The sequence below is a fragment of the Homo sapiens genome, chromosome 11 (assembly GCF_000001405.40).
Source record: "Homo sapiens chromosome 11, GRCh38.p14 Primary Assembly".
In the NCBI taxonomy this organism is placed as follows: domain Eukaryota; kingdom Metazoa; phylum Chordata; class Mammalia; order Primates; family Hominidae; genus Homo; species Homo sapiens.
This window is the reverse complement of record NC_000011.10, coordinates 61,841,692-61,863,263: the sequence shown is the minus strand read 5'-3', so window position 1 is coordinate 61,863,263 and position 21,572 is coordinate 61,841,692. Positions and strand designations below refer to the sequence as shown.

The 21,572-nt window shown below is 52.0% G+C and overlaps 1 protein-coding gene and 1 long non-coding RNA gene across 5 annotated transcripts in view, besides 6 other annotated features; both read right to left on the bottom strand.

Annotated features, from left to right (window-relative positions):
* FADS2 (fatty acid desaturase 2) overlaps positions 1–21,572 on the bottom strand; it is a 51,152-nt gene that overhangs the window by 4,091 nt on the left and 25,489 nt on the right. For all 4 annotated transcript variants that reach the window (XM_047427889.1, NM_001281501.1, NM_001281502.1 and 1 more), the window contains 4 exons: positions 14,980–15,105; positions 6,193–6,253; positions 5,734–5,810; positions 195–292 (listed from right to left, as the gene is read on the bottom strand). In XM_047427889.1, coding sequence (XP_047283845.1) covers positions 195–292; positions 5,734–5,810; positions 6,193–6,253; positions 14,980–15,105 — 362 coding nt within the window. The remainder of the gene's footprint in view (positions 1–194; positions 293–5,733; positions 5,811–6,192; positions 6,254–14,979; positions 15,106–21,572) is intronic.
* Positions 1,015–1,515: an enhancer, noted in NCBI's record as "H3K27ac hESC enhancer chr11:61629221-61629721 (GRCh37/hg19 assembly coordinates)". NCBI's record gives its function as "activates a minimal SCP1, AML or CMV promoter by ChIP-STARR-seq in naive H9 embryonic stem cells {active_cell/tissue: H9 hESC(naive)}" and the evidence as "EXISTENCE:reporter gene assay evidence [ECO:0000049][PMID:30033119]".
* Positions 1,516–2,016: an enhancer, noted in NCBI's record as "H3K27ac hESC enhancer chr11:61628720-61629220 (GRCh37/hg19 assembly coordinates)". NCBI's record gives its function as "activates a minimal SCP1, AML or CMV promoter by ChIP-STARR-seq in naive H9 embryonic stem cells {active_cell/tissue: H9 hESC(naive)}" and the evidence as "EXISTENCE:reporter gene assay evidence [ECO:0000049][PMID:30033119]".
* Positions 5,770–6,271: an enhancer, noted in NCBI's record as "H3K4me1 hESC enhancer chr11:61624465-61624966 (GRCh37/hg19 assembly coordinates)". NCBI's record gives its function as "activates a minimal SCP1, AML or CMV promoter by ChIP-STARR-seq in naive H9 embryonic stem cells {active_cell/tissue: H9 hESC(naive)}" and the evidence as "EXISTENCE:reporter gene assay evidence [ECO:0000049][PMID:30033119]".
* Positions 13,205–14,973, bottom strand: LOC124902679 (uncharacterized). The gene is made up of 2 exons (XR_007062695.1): positions 14,403–14,973; positions 13,205–13,515 (listed from the first exon to the last, which is right to left on the bottom strand). It is a non-coding gene; the product is annotated as an uncharacterized LOC124902679 (long non-coding RNA).
* Positions 14,687–15,187: an enhancer, noted in NCBI's record as "H3K27ac hESC enhancer chr11:61615549-61616049 (GRCh37/hg19 assembly coordinates)". NCBI's record gives its function as "activates a minimal SCP1, AML or CMV promoter by ChIP-STARR-seq in primed H9 embryonic stem cells {active_cell/tissue: H9 hESC(primed)}" and the evidence as "EXISTENCE:reporter gene assay evidence [ECO:0000049][PMID:30033119]".
* Positions 15,188–15,688: an enhancer, noted in NCBI's record as "H3K27ac hESC enhancer chr11:61615048-61615548 (GRCh37/hg19 assembly coordinates)". NCBI's record gives its function as "activates a minimal SCP1, AML or CMV promoter by ChIP-STARR-seq in primed H9 embryonic stem cells {active_cell/tissue: H9 hESC(primed)}" and the evidence as "EXISTENCE:reporter gene assay evidence [ECO:0000049][PMID:30033119]".
* Positions 21,196–21,480: a transcriptional cis regulatory region, noted in NCBI's record as "TAD5.SE2.HS2 sgRNA1-sgRNA3 range targeted for Mosaic-seq CRISPR perturbation". NCBI's record gives its function as "positively regulates FADS1 gene expression in K562 erythroleukemia cells {active_cell/tissue: K562}" and the evidence as "EXISTENCE:mutant phenotype evidence [ECO:0000015][PMID:28416141]".

The window sequence follows — 21,572 nt, the reverse complement described above, 5'->3', positions numbered from 1 at the left end:
CAGCGCAGGGGCCTCCGGGGGCCCAGCCACAGTGGGAACAGATCCACTCTCCCAACCAGCCCAGGACAGCCCCTGCCAAGGGGCCAGGATGGGAGGTCCCCAGGCAAAGTGGAGCCGTCCGAGCCTCTTCTCATGCCAAAGCCATCATCAGTGCCAGTGGAGGGCCCAGGGATGAATCAGCAAAGCCCAGGCACCTGATGAAGTTGAGGAAAAGGAGGGCTCCCAGGATGCCGTAGAAAGGGATGTAGGTGATGAAGAACCGGATGTAGTAGCTGACGGCCCAGGCCAGGTCCTGCGGGGAAAGATGAAGTTAGGTGCAACCTGCCCTCTCCTCTGCCCTGGCACCAAGTGCGTGCCCCAGATGTGCACACACCTCACACTCAGGCCTCTAGAAGCTGGACCGCAGCCCACTGAAATGCAATGGGCAACTACACGCCACCTGCTTGCTCGGGGTTTGCATGGCTGCCTTTGTTTCTAGGGAAATGCTGAGTGTTTTAGCATCAGGAAGTGACTGTGCCCTGTTTTTCGGGAGAGAAACGGACCCTCCTGCTGAGGGGCAGCCATGGGGTAGGGGTGGGGGTCAGCAGCCCTCTCGTGGGGCAAGGGCGATTCTGAAGGTGCGCCCCCAACCCGGGGCCAGGTCCCCAACCGTCCCCCAGTCCTGTCCCTCCTCCTCAGCACCTGGGTCTCCTCCTGGCATCTCCTTCCAGCAGGACAGAGGGCTTGGAGGGGTAGGGAAGGTCAGAGGTACCATCGTCCCTATCTCAGAGCTCTCACAGCAGAGGCTGGCCTCCCCACGCCCCACTGTCATCCTGTGTCCCTCCACTCTGCTCTCCTCCCTGCCTCTGGCTGGACTGGTGTCAGGGACTGGGCTTGGACGTCTTCTCTCATGTACTGGGAGGGTGACTTCACGGCTCCACCCTGTCCACTGTCTCTCTGCCACCCAAGTCTTGTCTCAACTGGACCACAGCATCAGCTTCCCACAGTCTCCTGCTTGTCCTCGTGGCCATGGCAACCAGAGTGGCCTTCGCTCCAAGCAGGTCCCAACTCTCCCCTGCTAAAGCCCCCATCCCACCCAGTCACCCACGGAGCCTCATGGGGTTAAGAACCTGTCTTTACTCAGCCCCCTGACCTAGCTTACTCCCTCCCCGGGGCCTCTGCATGGCCTGTTCCCACTGCCAGGGCGCTCATCCTGCCATGAGTTTAGGTATGGTGACATGCCACAGGCTCAGCACAGGTGTCCGAGGTGGAAGGTGAGGCCAAGGGACTGCCCTGTCTCACTTCAAACGACTGAAGAACAAGGTCACATTTGTGTCTTAAAATAGATCCCCACCCACTGGAGAGGGGGAGACTAGGAAGTTATTCCAGCGGCTCAGACATGAAATGACAGAGGCCTAAACCAGAACCCACGGCACTGACAAGGAGGTGACAGATTCCAGAACTGTCAGAGGCAACGGTGGCTGCATTTGTGCCTGCTTGGCTGTGGGGAATCTAGGCTGGTCCTAGGTGATCAGGGGTCGGGTGCCAGCAGCTGAACAGGAAAGGAGGAAGGGAGCGCTCAGGAGAGGCTGGAGATGGCCTTGGGGCCAACATTGGCCGAGGGCAGGACCTCACGTTCCAATAAGGTGGCCTTCAAGGTGAGGAGGGAGGCAGATGTAGCCAGTTCTGCTCCCACTTTCCATCACATTCCTTCTATTCTGTGTGTGTGGTGCAATAGTGTGCAGTGTATCTACACATATATGGAAACAAAATGAGGATGGGGTTACGGATTATTTTTTTTTGGAGATGGGATCTTGCTTTATTGCCCAGGCTGGAGTGCAATGGTGTGATCATGACTCTGTCCCAGGCTCAAGCCATACTTCTACCTCAGCCTCCCGAGTAGCTAATTTCTGTTTTTTTTTTTTTTTTTTGAGAGGGAGTCTCGCTCTGTCGCCCAGGCTAGAGTGCAGTGGTGTGATCTTGGCTCACTGCAAGCTCCACCTCCTGGGTTCATACCATTCTCCTGCCTCAGCCTCCCAAGTAGCTGGGTCTACAGGTGCCCGCCACCACGCCCGGATAATTTTTTGTATTTTTAGTGGAGATGGGGTTTCACCGTGTTCGCCAGGATGGTCTCGATCTCCTGACCTTGTGATCCGCCTGCCTCAGGCTCCCAAAGTGCTGGTATTACAGGCATGAGCCACTGTGTCTGGCCTTACCTGGATAATTTTTTTTAAGTTTTTATAGAGATGGGGGGGTCTCACTTACTTGCCCAGGCTGGTCTCGAATGCCTGTGCTCAAGTGATCCTCCAGCCTTGGCCTCCCAAAGTACTAGGATTACAGGTGTGAACCATTGCCCTGGCCCAACTTTTATTTTTAAGAGACAGGGTCTCACTCTGTTGCCCAGGCTTGAGTGCAGTGGTGTGATCACAGCTCACTGCAGCCTCAAACTCCTGGGCTCAAGCCATCCTCCTACCTCAGCCTCCAAAGTAGGTAGATTACAGGCGCGCATCACCACGCCCAGCTTTTTGTAGAGACAGGGTTTCGCCCATGTTGCTCAGGCTGGTCTCAAAACTCCTGGCTTCAGGTGATCCCTCCCACCTCAGCCTCCCAAAGTGCTGAGATCACAGGCGTGAGCCACCATGCCTGGCCTGGACTTCTTTTGAGTGTAGAGAGCAACACATACACAGAGATCGCTGGTTTCAGGGGCAGAGAGCCCAAGAGATCAGAAGCAGCCAAAGAGGCGGAGCGAGGGGGTTGGGAAGAAGCCAGCAGAGGTGGGGACCTGGAAGCCAACAGGAAGAACTGCAAGAGGGAGTGGCCAGTGGTGTCAGATACAGCAAAATTCCAGGAGGGTGAAGCGTGGGAGCATCTCAGGATCCAGGACGTGGCCCCGGGAACAGGGAACCTTGCCAGAGCATGTAAATCTCCCCGGGAAGCCTCCTTCAAAGATCTTAGGGTTTGTCACCTCTTTCCTCTAAGCCAGGGTCCCCCAACCTCCACACTATTGGCACCTGGGACAGGCTGCTTGTTGTCATGGGCGGTTCTCCAGGGCATGGCAGGGTGCTAAGCACCATCCTGGCTAGACGCCCACCAGATGCCAGTAGCACCCTCCTCTCCTGAAGTTGTGACAATTAAAAGTGTCTCCGGATACTGCCAAAGGGCAGAACAGCTCCCCTGAGAACCAGTGCCCCAGGTCATAGGTGCGCTCCTGGCTCTGAAAGCCCCATGGGCTCATCACATTGTCCCCACTCTGCCATCCCCTTTTAGGAACATAGGGTGATTTCTTTTCCTGTTTAATACTTTGTTCCTTAGGGAACAAGCACAGTCAAAAACAAACAAAAAAAAGAAGTTGCTCACTGCAAGCTCCGCCTCCCGGGTTCAAGCAATTCTCCTGCCTCAGCCTCCTGAGTAGCTGGGACTACAGGTGCACACCACCATGCCAGGCTAATTTTTTGTATTTTTAGTAGAGACGGGGTTTCACCATGCTGGCCAGGCTGGTCTCGAACTCCTGACCTCATGATCTGCCCGCCTCGGCCTCTCAAAGTGCTGGGATAACAAGCATGAGTGACTGCGCCCGGCAATAGGCCACTTATGAGTTAGAACGGGATTGGATGCTAGAGGCAAGGAGAGGGTGTAACATGTATAAGGAGGGAAAAAACATAATGGTGCTAGTCTCTAACTTGAGCCACTGGGTGGATGATGGAGCCATTCATTAACATGGAGACCATCAGGATTAGGTTGTGGGAGAAGAGGAGAGGACTTACATTGAATATGTTGGATTTGCAATGGCTGGGACACCTCCAAATGGAGTTAGATTGGATATATGGGTCCAAGACTTGGAGATAAAATTTGACTTGGCTGCTCTTAAATTCACAGTCAGGGTGAAAAGGACAACTTCAGTTAGCAAGCGATAAAACAGTAATCAACAGGCCGGGCGCGGTGGCTCACGCCTGTAATCCCAGCACTTTGGGAGGCTGAGGTGGGCAGATCACCTCAGGTTGGGAGTTTGAGACCAGCCTGACCAACATGGTGAAACCCTGTCTCTGCTAAAAATACAAAATTAGCTGGGCATGGTGGCGCATGCCTGTAATCCCAGCTACTTCGGAGGCTGAGGCAGGAGAATTACTCGAACCCAGGAGGCAGAGGTTTCGGTGAGCCGAGATCACGCCATTGTACTCCAGCCTGGGCAACAAGAGCGAAACTCCACCTCAAAAACAAACAAACAAACAAAAAACAGTAATCAATAAACAAGTCCACATTTGGTTAAGAGAGGAAAAACTTCCCCATGGCTATTGGTTGGAGCATGAGGGACAAATAGACTGCTGAGAAAGACTGGATTTTAAGCAAGCATTTCAGAAAGTGACAATTTAGTCTTTGATAATTTTCAGATAAACAATTTATCTGCCGGGTGCAGTGGCTCACGCCTGTAATCCCAGCACTTTGGGAGGCCAAGGCGGGTGGATCACGAGTCAAGAGTTCGAGACCAGCCTGGCCAACATGGTGAAACCCCATCACTACTAAAAATACAAAAATTAGCCAGGCATGGTGGCCGGCGCCTGTACTCCCAGCTACTCAGGAGGTTGAGGCAGGAGAATCGCTTGAACCCAGGAGGCGGAGGTTGCAGTGAGCCGAGATCGCACCACTGCACTCCAGCCTGGGCGACAGAGCGAAACACCATCTCAAAAAAAAAAGATGACGTAATTACAATGGGCCCTAATGCAATATGACCAATGTCCCTATTTTAAAAAAAAGGAAAAATTTTCAAGAATCCACTTTTGGTGAAGAAAAAAAGAAAATTAAAAAATAGGCCAGGCGTGGTGGCTCATGCCTGTAATCTCAGCACTTTGTGAGGCTGAGGCGGGCAGATCACTTGAGGCCAGGAGTTCGAGACCAGCCTCGCCAACATGGAAAAACCCCATCTCTACTAAAAATACAAAAATTAGCTGGGCATGGTGGCCGGTGCCTGTAATCCCAGGTACTTGGGAGGCTGAGTCACAAGAATTGCTTGCACCCAGGAGGTAGAGGTTGCAGTTGAGTCGAGATCACACCACTGCACTCCAGCCTATGTGACTCTGTCTCAATAAATAAACAAATAAACAAAATAATTTTTTTAAAGAGGGATATTTGGACACAGATACAGATACAAATATGCAGAGAGATGATGTACCGAGAGGGAGGACGAAAGCCATCAACCAGCCGATGAGAGGCCCAGAACAGAGCCTTCCAGAGCCCTAAGGAATCCACCCTGCTAACACCTCAGTTTTGGACTTCCGGTCTCCAGAACCGGGAGAAAACACATCGCTGCTGCTTATGCCACTCAGTTCGTGGTGCTTTGTCATACGGTCTTCGCAAACGACCACACCTGTCATCTCAGCCAACGCCCAGCTGCTCCAACTTCAAACCAGGGTGTGGGGCAACCCAGTTCATGGGACTCAGGGCCCACAGGGAGCGGGGAAGGGAGATGGCCACACTTGCCTCTCATCCTGCTGCCTTTGAGAACTTTCTCGGGGGCTCTGCAAAAGCAGGGGCTGCCCCAGTGGACTCCCTATGTCTGAGGGAGAGTAGAGATCTTTAGGACTAGGTCCTGGTGGCCCCAGAGGGAGTCCTTTCCTGAGAGGCAGCTACCCCAGGGAGGAGATGCCTGGGGCCCCACAGGCTCCACTGGGGCACACGAGGAGGCAGCGTAGGACCCCCGGGTCCCCCTGTCCCAGTCACCCTCCTCCCCATGCCAAGCCAGCTGTGTCCCCAACTCACCACCCAGTTCTTATGGACGATCATGGTCATGATGATCTGGTACTGGAAATACATGGGGATGAGCAGCGGCGGCCCAACTGCAGGAGAGAGACAGGCGCTTAGAGGCATCCATTCCACCCTGCCTGTGCCGGAAGGTCAGGGGAACCCAGGCCCAGCACTGAGTGCAGGGGCCAGCCCTGCAGACGTGGGCAGAAGCAGCCAGGGACCCCGGGGCCTGCAGAGAAGGCTGGGAGCCCTTGAGGACGTGTGTCACCCCTGGGACTCTCTGAGCCTCTGTGTCCCCATCAGGCCTGTAACACAGGCTGAGGGGTCTGCACAGCAAGGCTGCTGTGGCCCCCGCTTCTAACAAGTTTAGTGTCACTTTCTGGATCTGAAAAAGATGTCAGGTAGGAGGGAGAGACACGCCACTCTGGGGGGAGGGGAGGGTCCCAGAGTGATTTCGGGGCGCCGAGCACTCACTCAGGAAGAAGTATTCGTGCTGGTGATTGTAGGGCAGGTATTTCAGCTTCTTCTTGCCGTACTGAGGAGAGAGGAGAGATCATGAGCACCCAGTAGCCTCAGCTCCCAGCCTCCCATGTTCCCCAACCCATCCTGCAGCCACCATCCCTTCTATCTGCTCAGGGCACACCACTGTCCCTTTCCTGTCAATCTGCACCCTGGGCCCACCAAGCCTGGGGCCCCTCCAGCCCTCTGGGCTCCCCATGCTACAGCCAGCAGCGGCCAACGCTTCCTCAGCCCTAGCCGAGCACTGGCCCGATGGCATCGATCCTCTACAAGGCCGGCACTTCTGAGGCTGAGGCTCAGCGTTAAGCCATGGCCCAAGGCCACAGGAAGTGGCCCTGACTGGGATCAGAACCCAAAAAGCTGACTCTGAGCCCATGTGACAGGCACTAAACAAATGTTTGTTGAATGAATGTGCAACAGAGCAACTCTCGGCGGAGCATAAGCACCCAGGGGAGTTCCTAGGTCACCATGGAGAGCTCCCGGAGCCCGCAGTGGCAGGGAGAACCTAGGTAAGGGCCCCAGAATTGCTGCCAGTCATCAGGCTGGGAGCATCTGCCTCCCTGGAGCCTCCCTGTAATTTACAAGAGTGAATCACTCCTCCCCAGCTGGAGCCTAACCTTGAGGACAGAGGAGGCCACAGCACAGACTCCTCAGGCCACATCTGGCTACCTGAGGTCCCCATGACGGCACCGGTTTCTTCCCCATCAGAGCCTGCACCTTGGGCAGCCTGATGCCCAGAGGCTCTAATGGAGGAGGGCTGGGCTGGGTCCTGGGCATCGTCATTGTCCAATGCCAGGCATAGGAACCACGGCCCCAGGGGATCCCTGGAGCCCTTAATTCCATGGTCCAGCCCCTAGGGACCAGCCCACCCTGCACTTCCAGGACTGAGACCAAAAGATGCCGCTCACTGAGTGACACCTGCTCCTCTCCCTTGCAGTGTGGGGAGGCTGGGCTTGCAGCCAGCAGATGCGCTTGAGCCGACTCTGCCTCTCACCAGTGCTGAGACTATGTGAGTCGCTTAGCCTTGCTGAGCCTTGTCTGGCATTTGAATCAGTGGTTGGTAAGAGGAGCCAATGAGAACATGGGCATAATGCCAAGTGCTGACCCCAGGACACTGCCCGTCACCCTCCCTATACCCCTGGATCCGAAGGCCAGAGATGCCTCCTCCTATAGTGTCCAGTCATACTTATTGCAGTCAGGAGGTCAAAGTGAGTTACAGAGGGAAGGGACCTTGGATGATGCCTAGGCCAGTGCCCCTCTCATCCAGGTGAGTAAAATGATTGTCCAAATCACAGGGAGAGCATGGATTCCTGAGGGAAGAGGCTGTGGGTGGGAACCAGGTCCACCCTGTCCCCAAGGCTTGCATCTTGGCGCCAATGGCCATGGTCACGGCACAACCAGCTGAAGAACCCCCAGAAACAGTCCCTTTGTTCTGTGTGGCCTCCTGAGCCTTGGCAAGGATCTCACTCATTCCCAGAAAGGACGGCCACTTGCAGGAAGACTATTATTAAGGCCAGGGCTGAGGCCGGCCATGGAGAGGTCCGAGCCAGGGAGGCCTCACAGGAGCCTTTCATGAGTCTCCAGTGGACGGAGTTGCTGGAGGAGCCAGCACTGCAGACGTTGCTCTCGAGGTGGCCAGTCTCGGGGCCTGCAGTGGCCCACAGAACAGGCCCCTGAGTCCTGCTCTAAGCTTCTCCCAGAGGCCAGGGAGCAGGCTCATAGCCCCAGCCTTGGCATGCAGTGTCTCCAGCTCTGCTCAAGAGCTCCTCCCCACCGCATCTCTGTCCCACAGAGCATCCCATCCCTCTCGGGCTGGGCCGGCTGTACTCGGAAGTGAGCACAGAGGGCAACCCAGGCAGGTCAGCAGGGGCCAGGGCATCCTATGGAGGGACTGAGGGCTGGCCACGCTGTTGTGGGGGCCTGGGAGGCACCTGGGGAGTCTGTTTGGAGCTGCATGTGCACAGTAGGCACCCTGTTCTCATGGGTGATGGTGGCCTGTGGGTGGACAACACAGGTTACAGGGGCTGCCTCTGCTGGTAAGCACTGCTGGCTTTAGTGTGCGTCCCTTCAATGCCCCAGAATGACCCTCGGGAGCCAGGGGGTCCTGCTTGCCAGGCAGCAGCAGGCCTCAGAGTGGGCCTCTGTGGGACGGTGAGCAAAATGCTCATCACAGTCACGCACGTGTATGTACATGCGTATGGTGACATACCACTACACATCTGTGCCCATCTCGATGGCCTCAGCTGCAGCGGCTCTGCTGGGGGATGGCCAATACTCCCCTCCCAAACCAGAAAGTACAACTGTGGGTTTGGGATACGAAGCCCTGCCCTGTGGCTAACTCTCTGCTCTCATCTTTCCCACGCTCAGTTCTTTGCCAGAGCTTTGCCGTTTAAGTCATGGGACCAGGGAAGGGAGGGAGAGGTATTTTAGAATGTAGCAAGCTAGGGGGGTGAGTGCCTGGCTGTTTAATTGATCAGAAAGCTGGGGCTACCCAACAAACATATTTCACAAGGGCCCCCAGGACTCCGAAGCTGTGGTTTGCAGCCAGATGGTTTGGGTTCGGACAGTGGTGTTGCCTTTTCCTTGCTGTTACCTTGAACAAGTCACTTCATGTCTCTTGGCCTTAGCTGTTCCATCCATGAAATGGGTCGATGACAGCTCCCGCCTCACGGGTTAAGCAAGGATTAAGTGACGTTGTGCACGCACACTGCCCATCACAGTGCCCGGTCCACAGACTCACTCAACAAGAGTCAGGCTTCTTCCCAACTGGGGGCTCAGAGCCCCAAGTGTGGGGAGTGGAGGACCCCACACATCTCCTCCTCCAGAGGAGTCCCCGTCACACACACAGAGAAAGCCCAAGAGGCAAGGAAGACACATGACTTTCACCTGGCTGGGCTGCGGCCAAGGGTGTGGGTGGCACACATGGACCTCCCCCTGATCAGCAACAGTGCCTTCCCAGGCTGCGGTTGACAGGCAGAGACGCAGGCCAGGGGCAAGGGAGGGAGTGCAGCCAGCCCTGGCGGCGGGGCTGACTCTCCTGTCCTCGGCCTCTCCATGCACCTCAAGGCCAGGCTTGGATGAGGGCCTGGGGGATGCCGGGCCATGTGGAGGGGACCTTTCAGCTTTGGAACAAAATGTCTGAGGAATGACAAGGGCCCTCCTTGTCCATCGAGGGTTGGGGGAGGGGAGCTGTCGCAAAGCCCAGTCTCTGCCTCTGGGAACCTGCAAACTCACACACAGAGAGAAACAGGCGGCACGACCTCCCCAGCAGGAGCAGAATGGCAAGGTCCCAGTCCAAGGTCCCCGAGAGGGCGGCATGTGTGTCCCAAGGCGGGATGGGTGGCTTAAGCCTGTTCATGAAGGTCTGCCTCAAGCAGGAAGCCCAGGAGGTTAGCTTCAGACAGTCAGAGCAGCAGAGGTGGTTTCCCGGATGGGAGGAGGAGGAGGATCTCAGGCACCGCACGGCTTCTGAGGCCCCTTTACACTGCTACCGGGATAATGGTCTCACCAGCCCCCTCAGAAAACGGGGATATGGCAAAAGAAGAACAAAACAAGGCTGCTGCCAATATCACCGCTATTAAACTCAGCTCTGAAATTTCCCGTCAATGCAATAAAACCCAAAGCAGAAAACAGAGTGGAGCTATTAGAAAGAAAGAGACTACTTCAACATCCAGATTAGAAAGAAAGAAGGAAAGGAAGGAAGGAAGGAAGGAAGGAAGGAAGGAAGGAAGGAAGGGAGGGAGGGAGGGAAGGGAGGGAGGGAGAGAAAGAAAGAGAGAGAGAAAGAAAGAAAGAGAAGAAAGAAAGAGTGACTACACTTTTTTTCTGTTTGTTTTGTTTTGTTTTGTTGTTGTTGTTGTTGTTGTTGTTTTGAGACGGAGTCTCACTCTGTCGCCCAGGCTGGAGTGCAGTGGTGCTATCTCAGCTCACTGCAACCTCCGCCTCCCAGGTTCAAGCGATTCTCTTGCCTCAGCCTCCAGAGTAGCCGAGACTACAGGCGTGTGCCACCATGCCCAGCTAATTTTTTGTATTTTTAGTAGAGACGGTGGTTTCATTGTGTTAGCCAAGATGGTCTCGATCTCCTGACCTCGTGATCCGCCAGCCTCGGCCTCCCAAAGTGCTGGGATTACAGATGTGAGCCACCACGCTGGGCCGAGAGACTACGTTTTCATTATTTTCTAGGATATGATCATCTACCCAGGAAACTCAAAAGAATCAACCGAAACACAACTAGAATTACGAAGAGACGTAAGTGGACACTAGCGGGACAAAAGATAACTATCCCATTCATTGGAAGGCCATGCAAACAAAAATTTAGAAAAAAAAGAAAATTAAGATAACTACCCCAATATCCACTGCTTTCCCGAGTACTGGAGAACCTCCAATCATAATGACAAAATATAAAACATATAAGGATTGCGTTTTAAAAGAAACATCCATGAGACATATAAAGAAGTACAGACCTTGGCCGGGCACAGTGGCTCATGCCTGTAATCCCAGCACTTTGGGAAGCTGAGGTAGGCGGATCACTTGAGGTCAGGAGTTCGAGACCAGCCTGGCCAACATGGTGAAACCCCATCTCTACTAAAAATACAAGAATTAGCCGGGCATGGTGGCGGGTGCCTGTAGTCCCAGCTACTCGGGAGGCTGAGGCAGAACGATGGCTTGAGCCCAGGAGGTTGAGGCTGCAGTGAACCGAGATTGCGCCACTACGCTCTAGCCAAGGTGACAGAGCATGACCTTGTCTCAAAAACAAAAACAAAAACAAAAAGAGAGAGAAAGAGAAGGGGAAAGGCACCCCACTACGAGCTTCCAATGAGTTAAGTGCCAAGGATGAATGAGTGTGAGTGTGGCCCCCAAGTCATCCAGACGGTGGCCTGGGAGAGGACAGACAGCCCAGCCCAGGCCAAGCCCGGGCTCAGGAGCACTCACTGCCTCATATGAAGAAGCAATGCCACCTCATGGGGGTGCCGGGAAAACTGGCCGACTCTGGAGAAAAGTGAAGGCCGAACATCATCCTACCCATATCCCATTTGGCAGAAGTTAAAGATTGAAACACAAAACCTTAAAGAACTGAAAATAATATGTATGAAGAACTTTCTAAGCACACAAGAAATGAATCTCTGGGTAAAGTGAATATACTTTGCTACATATGACAAAAAGAATCCTCCTGGACAGCATCAATAAGACCAAAATGCAGAAAACGAGGAAAAGGGCTTTACTGCGGAGCCCGCGCTATTCACAGTTCCACGTGCTGGGAGCCGCTTGGCAGGGCTGCTTTGCTTATCTGTCCCCAGAGATAGAAGCCCTGGCCGGCATCCTTGCTCTGGAGACTGGGATGGTGGCTTGAGGCCCTGGGACCTGGCCGCCCCACCTGGCCCTGCTGTGGTGTGTGGGACTGGCATGTGACAAGTCCCATCAGACCCACTGTCACTTCAGTCAAGAGACCAGGGTTCCTTCCAGGGCGGCCGGGTCCTGCGAGAGCCAGAGCACAGGTCAAAACACCAGGAACCCAGGAAGCACCAATCCTTTCCCCATGAGTGTGAGAGCGGGGATTTCCACAGAACACCGCGGCACTGGCTGGGGACTTCCAAACGCCGCTGGTAACTGAACAACCAGATCCTCACAGCCTCCCACCCCTATCTCCTGCCCCAAAGCCAGCGTTCCAGAAGTGTCGGGGGTGAGAAGATGTCGGGAAAGGAGAGGCTTCTCTGGCCACCACGCACAAGAAAGACGCCTTCTTGCCAGTGCAGCTGGTGGGACTAGACTTTCTTTGTTGGAGACACAGAGAACATCTGTCAGGACAGCCAACGGCTCTACATTACAAAGCCTCGCCGAGAAAATGAAGCCTTTGTCCCCACTTATCAGAGGGCCTCAAGTTCATCAGTTCTGTTTTCTAGACACCTCTAATTAAAGCTGGCAAACTGTTTCCTAGAAGAATAACAATAGCCTGTACTTTGGCAGAAAATGGAATCCCTGGCAGCTTAGAGAGGCTTCCAAAGTACAGAACTGTGGCTGATTTCCTGCGAATTGGCCATGTTACAGAAAAATCCACGTTCCTGCTCAGATAGTCTCACGGGTGGAAATGAAATAAGAAGAGGGTGTACAAACCAGAACTGGGGAGCCAGGCTGTCTCCTCGCCTTGTTCCAAGCCTTAGGCGCCAAGGCTGTCGGGAATACTACTTCACTCACGGTGCCACTCCTTAGTGAGGGAAAATTGGCCTCACTTGGCAGATGCTGATTGAACCCTACTCTATGCATGGCTTTGTGGCTCCTAAGATCTGCATAAAAGCAACAAGGATCTTCTAAACTTTCATTTTAATCATTAATGTATTTCCAAAAAGCAGCGCATATATTTATTTTTTTCTTCTAAATTAGGTCCCGACATAGAGGCTCTACATAAAAAAAAAGAATGTATTAAATAAGAACATTTTTTTGTGGAACGCATTGGTGGGGCTTTTATTCAAAAGAAATTATGGGCCAGGCGCGGTGGCTTACACCCGTAATCCCAGCACTTTGGGAGGGCGAGGTGGGCGGATCACGAAGTCAGGAGTTCAAGACCAGCCTGGCCAACATGGTGAAACCCCGTCTCTACTAAAAATGAGAAAATTAGCCAGGCGTGGTGGTGTGCACCTGTAATCCCATCTACTCGGGAGGCTGAGGCAGGAGAATCACTTGAACCTGGGAGGTGGAGGTTGCAGTGAGCCAAGATCGTGCCACTGCACTCTAGACTGGGCAAGAGAGTAAGACTCTGTCTCAAAAAAAAAAGAAAAGAAAAGAAAAGAAAGAAATTATGAACTACTGACACTCAATTTGTCTACCATATAAAATAATGTAGGTCCTGTTATGGTTCAGAAGTACAACAGAATACCATATGGCTAGAGGGAGACGAGACCTGTCTACATGAACTGGGGGGGAAGGGCATCCACATTCGCAGAGGTGGCAAGTTGCAGGATACAAGGTAGAATTTTTTTGTTTTTTATTTTTTTATTTTTGAGACAGAGTCTCCCTCTTCTGTCCCCGCTGGAGTGCAGTGGTGCAATCATAGCTCATTGCAGCCTTGAGGCTCCCAGGCTCAAGTGATTCCCCCACCTCAGCCTCCCCTGCACCTGGGACCACAGACGCACACCACTACACCTGGCTAATCTTTTGTATTTTTCGCAGAGATGGGGTCTCACTATGTAGCCCAGGCTGGTCTTGAACTCCTGGGCTCAAGCACTTCTCCCACTTCAGCCTCCCAAAGCGCTGGGATTACAGGTGTGAGCCACCACAGCTGGCCTAAAATTTTTGTTTGTAAAGAAACAGATATATGCATGTTTATACACATATAAAAATATCTAGAAGACTGTATAGCATCTTGTTAACAGTGGTTACCCTCAAGGGCATAAAATTTGGGGCAAAGGGGAGGTTTGAGAGACTCACTTTTTTTTTCTTTTTTGAGACATAGCTTTGCTCTGTTACCCAGGCTGGAGTGCAGTGGTGTGATCATAGCTCACTGTAGCCTCAACCTCCTGGGCTCAGCTCAAGGGATCCACCCACCTCAGCCTCCCCAATAACTGAGACTAGGCACGTGCTACCATGCCTGGCTAACTAAAAAAATATGTATTTTTTTAGAGACAGGGTCTTGCTATATTGCCCAGGCTGAGACTCGTGTTTTAATTCTGGATATTTCTGTACTGTTTAGAAGTTTATACCAAGTGTGTTCTATATTTGTAGTAATAAAATGAACTAATATGAAAATAAAATGGTATAGTAAATGGAAGGCAATGGCCTAGCAGTCCAAAGGTCTGGGGCCTCACCCTAGACTGGCCACTAAATTACGTGACTCTCTCGGCTGGGCACGTTGGCTCATGCCTGTAATACCAGCACTTTGGGAAGCCGAGGCAGGCAGATCATGAGGTCAGGAGTTTGAGACCAGCCTGGCCATGGTGAAACCCTGTCTCTACTAAAAATACAAAAATTAGTTGGCATGGTGGCACATGCCTGTAATCCCAGCTACGTGGGAGGCGGAGGCAGGAGAATTGCTTGAACCCAGGAGGCGGAGGTTGCAGTGAGCCAAGATTGTGCCACTGCACTCCAGCTCTGGGCAACAGAGCAAGACTCCGTCTCAGAAAAAAAACTAAATAAATTATGTGACCCTGAACGTGTTCCATCCTCTCGCTGACCTTCAATTTCTTATCCACTGGTGAAGCAGATTGGACCAAGCCACGTTGAGGCTCCTCCCAGTGTACAGGATGATGATTCTCCAAATAAGGTTTTCTCAACATGAGCTAGTCGGTTGGCGACCAAGCTTGAGCCCCTGAAATCTTGCCTTCCTGCTGAACTGGAACAAGATTTCCCTCTACCCTGGGAAAAAACAAGCCAGAAAATGCCCTTCCTGGCCTAAGGGTAGGAGGGAGACATCTACCATTCTAATGAGGAGCTGTGTCTGTATTTACAGGTGAGGCCATTCCACATACATTCCAGCCAGAACAATTCAGGGTACCTAGGAGAGGTATCTGTGTAGCAGGAGATGTGGACCTGCCTGGCTGAATGTCAGCTCTCTAGGCTTCCTTCCCTGCTCCCTGCTCAGGCCAAACACTTCCTAGGTCAACACCAACCCCTTAGTCGTACCTCGATGGCTGCCATTCGCCCAGGCCAAACACTTCCTAGGTCAACACCATCTCCTTAGTTGTACCTCGATGGTCTGCCATTCGCCCAGGACAAACACTTCCTAGGTCAACACCATCCTCTTAGTCGTACCTCGATGGGCTGCCATTCGCCCAGAACAAACACGTGCAGCATGTTCACATCGGGATCCTTGTGGAAGATGTTAGGCTTGGCGTGGTGCTGGAAGTGGCGATGATTCCACCAGTTGGCAGAGGCACCCTGTGGGGAGAGAGGGGTGGGGATGAGCCATGCAAGCCACCAGGGAACCGAGCTCGCTTGTAACAGGCCCTTCTTAGGAGCAGTTCCCGGAACCTTCAACCCTCGGGGATAGCACTTCAGGCCCCCACAAGGCCAGAATCCAGCCCTGCCATGACTGAGCTCAGAGCATGCGCCAGCCCCAGATGGAGTGAAGTCACTTTATCTCTCTAGGCTTCAGTTTCCCTGATCATAAGACGATGGTGGCAGATGAGGCGTGCTGCTGAGGGACCACACGGTGAGCGCTCCAGCAGGTGTGGCAGCCAGTCTCTGCCTCTCCGTCACCAGGTGTGGAACCAGAGCTGTGCAAGGTAAAGCCGAGGTTTCAGGGACAGTGAGAAGTGGTCCCTACTATGTGGCCCAGAAATCTCCCTCCTGAGCGTATATCCAAGAGAAATGAAAACATGTCCACACACCAACTCATAGAGCAGTGTTCACAGCAGCATTCTTCAAAAGAACCAGAAGAGCAAAAGCAACACAAATGTTCATCAACAGATGAGTGGGTGAATGAAATGCAGATTATCCACACAGTGGAATATCATTTGGCTGTGCCGTAAAACAGAACGAATCACTGACCCTTGCTACAACACGGATGAGCCTGGAGAACATGCTAAGGGAAGGAAGGAGCCACAAAAGACCACATATCACATGATTCCACCGACATGAAACGCCCAGAATAGGGAAATCTATAGAGACAGAAAGCTGAGCAGTTGTGTAGGGCTAGGATTGGGGTAGGGGAGGGAGTGAGGGGGTTGGGATGTGATGGCTAAGAAACGTGGGGTTTCTTTTGAGCATCATGAAGATGCTCTAAAATCGACTATGATGATGGTTGCATAAATCTGTGAATATACCAAAAGTCATTGATTTGTCTACTTTAAATGGGAAAACTGGCTGGGCGTGGTGGCTCACACCTGTAATTCCAGCACTTTGGGAGACAGAAGCGGGTGGATCACTTGAGGTCAGGAGTTTGAGACCAGCCTGGGCAACATGGTGAAACCCCGCCTCTACTAAAAATACAAAAATTAGCCGGGCGTGGTTGTGGGCGCCTGTAATCCCAGCTACTCGGGAGGCTGAGGCAGGAAAATCACTTGAACCCGGGAGGCAGAGATCACACCACTGCACTCCAGCCTGGGAGACAGAGCAAGACTCTGTTTAAAAAAAAAAAAAAGTGAGAACTGTATCTCAATAAACGATTTGGAGAGCGCAGTTGTGCTGCTATGCTGAGGGTGGGTCCTGAGATTCGTGTCACACCAGGAAGGCTGGAGGGAGGGCTCAACAAACAACTGCTAACATGAACAAGAAGAACTTTCCTGTTTCTAACACTCAAATAGGATCCCATGAGACAAGACACATAACATGGATATTTCTTTTGAGGCCACAGGTGTCCGTCTCCTCAGCTCAGAGTTATGGCCCTCGACAGTTGCCCAGCGACAGATGAAAGAAAACACACTTTCCTGACCCTTTGGCATCACGACTATCCTGGTGAACTGTTGCCGGATCAATGCTTTGGCTAAGGGTTTGCAAAAAATGCCTATTTGCTAAACAAACATTTTACTTGGGAGATGCTTTTGGCACACACAGTCTATGGACACTAATAGCCATGGGTGGGAACAGCAACGGACAGCTGTGGCCTTTGCAGTAACCTCAGGGCCCTGGAAACTGGCAGGCCTCAAAACCCATGAGAGAGAGAGAGAGAGAGAAAAAAAAAAAAAAAGTCAGAGAGTGAAAGCTCAGAGGCTTCACTTTGGGAGGCTGAAGCGTGTGGATCACTTGAGGTCAGGCGTTCAAGGCCAGCCTGGCCAACACGGAGAAACCCCGTCTCTACTAAAACTACAAAAATTATCTGGGCGTGGTGGCGGGCACCTGTAATCCCAACTACTCAGGAGTCTGAGGCAGGAGAATCCTGTGAACCCAGGAGGCCAAGATCATACCAACTTCACTTTAGCCTGAGCAACAGAGCAAGAGTCTGTCTCAAAAAAAAAAAAAAAAAAGAAAAGAAAGAAAGAAAGCTTAGAGGCTCGAGGAATCAAATGACACATTTGCGTTTGTTGTCAAAAGGAACAAAATTCCTGGGAAGAATCAAATGGAAAAATCTCTGGCACAAAGAAACTGAGGAGCAAGGCATGAAACAAGTAAGCGTGATGTTTGGAGGATACCAACCCAGAGATGTTTATTGAACAAACAGATGGAGGAAAGCAAGACGGGCTGACAACAAGGAGGCAGTGAGGTGGGCAGTCCCGGTTCTCCCTGGACTCGGGATGAGATGTAATGAAAGCATTTTTTGTTCATGCTACTTCCTCTGCTGTGATTCTCTTCCATTTTTTTTTTTTTTTTTTTTGAGACAGAGTTTTGCTCTTGTCGCCCAGGCTGGAGTGCAGTGGTGCAATCTCAGCTCACTGCAACCTCCGCCTCCCAGGTTCTCCTACCTCAGCCTTCCGAGTAGCTGAGATTATAGGCGCCCGCCACCATGCCCGGCTAATTTTTATATTTTCAGTAGAGATGGGGTTTCACCATGTTGGCCAGGCTGGTCTCAAACTCCTGAACCCAGGTGATCCGCCCACCTCCGCCTCCCAAAGTGCTGGGATTACAGGCATAACCCACCGCACCGGGCCTCTCTTCCATTCTTCTTTGCCAGGTGAAGCCCTGCTTGTCCTTCAAGAGCCCCTCCTTCCGGGCACCGGGAAGCCCGCCTTGCCCAGGAACAATGGCCAGCTCCGTGTTCCCAGAATGTGGTGCAGATGTTGCCTACCCTAAGCCAGCTGCCGTGCTCTGCCTGGGAGGTGAACCAAGAGACAAAGCCCTTGTCCTCACGGAGCTGCGAGGGAGGGTCTGGCCTCATCACACCAAACCCAAACTGAGCTGGGGCCAGGAAAGCTAAGTGTCCACGCAGCTGGAGAAGTTGGCCAGGCAGAGTGAGGGGTGCTTTCCTGACAGAGGCAAGAGCCTACGGGAGGCCCTGGGAGAGGAAGGGGGAGTGTAGAGTGCTCCAGAAGCCAGAGGAAAGCTCCTCGGTATAACTGTGACCAGCAGTGCTGGGTGGCGCCATATCAGAGCCTGAGGCAAAAAAAAAAAAAAAAAAAAAAAAAAAAAAAGTGCACTTCTGGCTTTAATGGAAACAAACTCATCGATAACATTTTCAAAGCCTACTTTTTGCCTCATTTCATTTTCTTTCTTTTTTCTTTTTTCTTTTTTTTTTTTGAGACGGAGTCTTCCTCTGTCGCCCAGGCTGGAGGGCAGTGATGCAGTCTCGGCTCACTGCAACCTCTACCTCCCGGGTTCAAGTGATTCTCCTGTCTCAGCCTCCCGAGCAGCTGGGACTGCAGGCGTGTGCCACCACGCCCGGCTAATTTTTTGTATTTTTAGTGGAGATGGGGTTTCACCGTGTTAGCCAGGATGGTCTCGATCTTCTGACCTTGTGATCTGCCCTCCTCAACCTCCCAAAGTGCTGGGATTACAGGCGTGAGCCACCGCGCCTGGCCTCATTTCATTTTCAATGGAAAGAATTGCTGAGTTTGATGGTTTCTGTCAACCAAGCGATTAGCTTAAATAATTTTTATGTTTATTTTTTATTTTTGAGATGGAGCCTCACTCTGTCACCCAGGCTGGAGGGCTGTGGCACGATCTCGGCTCACTGCAACCTCCACCTCCCTGGTTCAAGTGATTCTCCTGTCTTAGCCTCCCGAGCACCCTCGCCTGGCTAATTTTTGTTTTTTTAGTAGAGACAGGGTTTCACCATGTTGGCCAGGCTGGTCTTGAACTCCTGACCTTAAGTGATCTACCTGCGTCACCCTCCCAAAGTGCTGGGATTACAGGCATGAGCCACCACACCCGGCCAAGCCACCTCGCCCGGTCTTAACTAATTTCTAATTACATTCAACTGAAGCAAAAGTATAATAAGTTCTGTTTTGGTATAAATAAAGCATTTACACTTAGAATGTTATGACTTTTAATACATCAACTTCTTCATTGTTAAATATTTTTTTAACTACTTTAATCCTCTGGAAAAAAAATCAACCATTAAAAAATGACACACGAACATGTTTAGAGGGTTGCATGTTTTTCCATTTCCCTCAGTTCATCCTGATCTTTATTTAAAATTTTGATATTTTGTTCATTGTGGATTTTTTTGCATTAATTTTGATTTTTTTAAAAACATATTGCAGGCCGGGCGTGGTGGCTCATGCCTGTAATCTCAGCACTTTGGGAGGCCAAGGCAGGTGGATCACCTTAGGTCAGGAGTTCAAGACCAGCCTGGACAACATGGAGAAACCCCATCTCTACTAAAAATACAAAAAAATTAGCTGGGCATAGTGGCGCACACCTGTAATCCCAGCTACTCGGGAGGCTGAGGCAGGAGAATCGCTTGAACCCGGGAGACGGAGGTTTCAGTGAGTTGAGATCACGCCATTGCACTCCAGCCTGGGCGACAAGAGTGAAACTCCATCTCAAAAAACAAAACAAAACCACATTGCATTAAAACATCATTTATCTTGATAACTGAATTTGTCTGGTGTCCCCTTAGAATTTGTCTGGTGTCCCCTTAGATTTTATACCCTAAGCGAGTGCCTTACTTGTTTCACCCTAATCCCAGCCCTGGTGGCCTGAGATGAGGCTGCAGAAAGTCTGGTGATGTCCATTTCCAGATGCAGCGCCCAGATGGCACTGGGCCTTTCAGCTTGCATTTATTTATTTAGAGACAGTGTCTCACTCTGTCACCCATGCTGGAATGTAGTGGCACCATCACAGCTCACCGCAGCCTTCAAATCCCAGGCTCAAGCCATCCTCCGGCCTCAGCCTCCCCAGTAGCTGGGACTACAAGCATGCACCACCATCCCCGGCTAATTCTTTTATTTTTAGTAGAGACAGGGTCTTGCTATGTGGCCCAGGCTGGTCTCAAACTCTTGGCTTCAAGCAATCCTCCTGCCTTGACCTCCCAAAGCGCTGAGGTTATAGGCGTGAGCCACTGTGCCTGGCTGAAGTTTGCATTTCATCCTAAGTACAGTGCTGAACTACGAAAGAGTTTTAACCTCAGAATCGTCTTTGTAAAAGATCACACTTTGGAAGAAATGTCCACTGGGCATGACACGGGCTGAAGGCAAACAGGTCAGGATGTGAAGAACTCCCATTAAATCCCATTAGCAGTGCAGCCAACAGGAAGAAGGGGGTCCCAGCCTCTCACAGCACCTGGTAACCTACTCACAGGTCTTTCCAGCCTGTGCTAAGACATCTGAGTTGGCGAGGCCCTTGAGGACCTCCCTGTAGCCAGTCCCCTTTTTCCCAGTGATGGGAAGAGACACAGACCTACAAGATTTGTCCCCATGGCTGTGCACCTGCCGAGTGCTAGAGCCAATTTCAGGCAAGCTTGACCTCCGTGCTCTGGGGCACCCCTGAGTGAGCCACATGTCCATGTCCTTGGCCTGTCTCTGTGACACAGCACCAAGGACACAGCCAGTGGGGGCTGGTGGGCCATGAGTGGAGCCCACATCCCCAAGCCCAAGGACCCTGTTTGCTGTCATCCACGTTCTACATGGAGACCAGTCCTCTGTCCTGGCCCCGTCTCCCGCCTGACGCAACAGCCGTGCTCTGGGGCCCCTCAAAGACTGAGGGCAATTGGACAGGAACAATCCCCCCTGCCCGGCCCCTGCCCAGAATCTGGAAGCAGGACACAGCCCATCTTTGTTAAGTGTGTGGGGGCTAACATGGGTCAGGAGTTAAATGTTACTTTGCCATACTGAGGAGGGTTTGATCCAACAGAGAAGAGTATAAAATGAAACAAAGCACTCCACTATGTGCACCCTCTCCCTTTGCCCCTGAGATTCTGGACAGAGACCAGGTTCTCAGGCCGCTTCAGGCTCAGGGCCAGGCAAGCTGCTCGCTGCGAAACTGGTGACCAGCTCAGGGGTGGTTGGCCACCAGTGAGATCTGCAGCCGGCAAGCCAAGGGCCCCGTTGCGGTCTGGGTGGAAGAGGGGATAAGCTACACCCCACATGTAGCTCGTCCCTTGCCAGGGTGTGGAGGGATGGATTCTTTAGGACCCAGCTTTTCTCAGGAAGCAGGTACTGTTGGGTCAGGCTGGGATGGGGATAGTCTATTTCAGAGAGCAAGTTGGCAAAGACTCATTTTCAAAACTGAGGAGATAACGCCTGTCAGATCAGAACAAGGCAGTTGGCAATTCCAGCTTGTCTTTCTACAAACATGCTGAGACTCTGTGGTCTGCTTCCTTATCTAGGGGGAGGTGAGAGTGGAACTTCCTTAACTCCTGCACTTCTAATGACTTTTGTCCTTTGGGCCAGCTGATCATTCCGTAGTTTGGTGTCCCCTATCTGAGGCCTTATAGGATGACTTTTACTTTTTGTACCCCGCTTATTTCCAAAGAGTATTTGAAGTGGCTTGAGATAAAAGACTCATATATAACGGAAGGCTAAAATAAA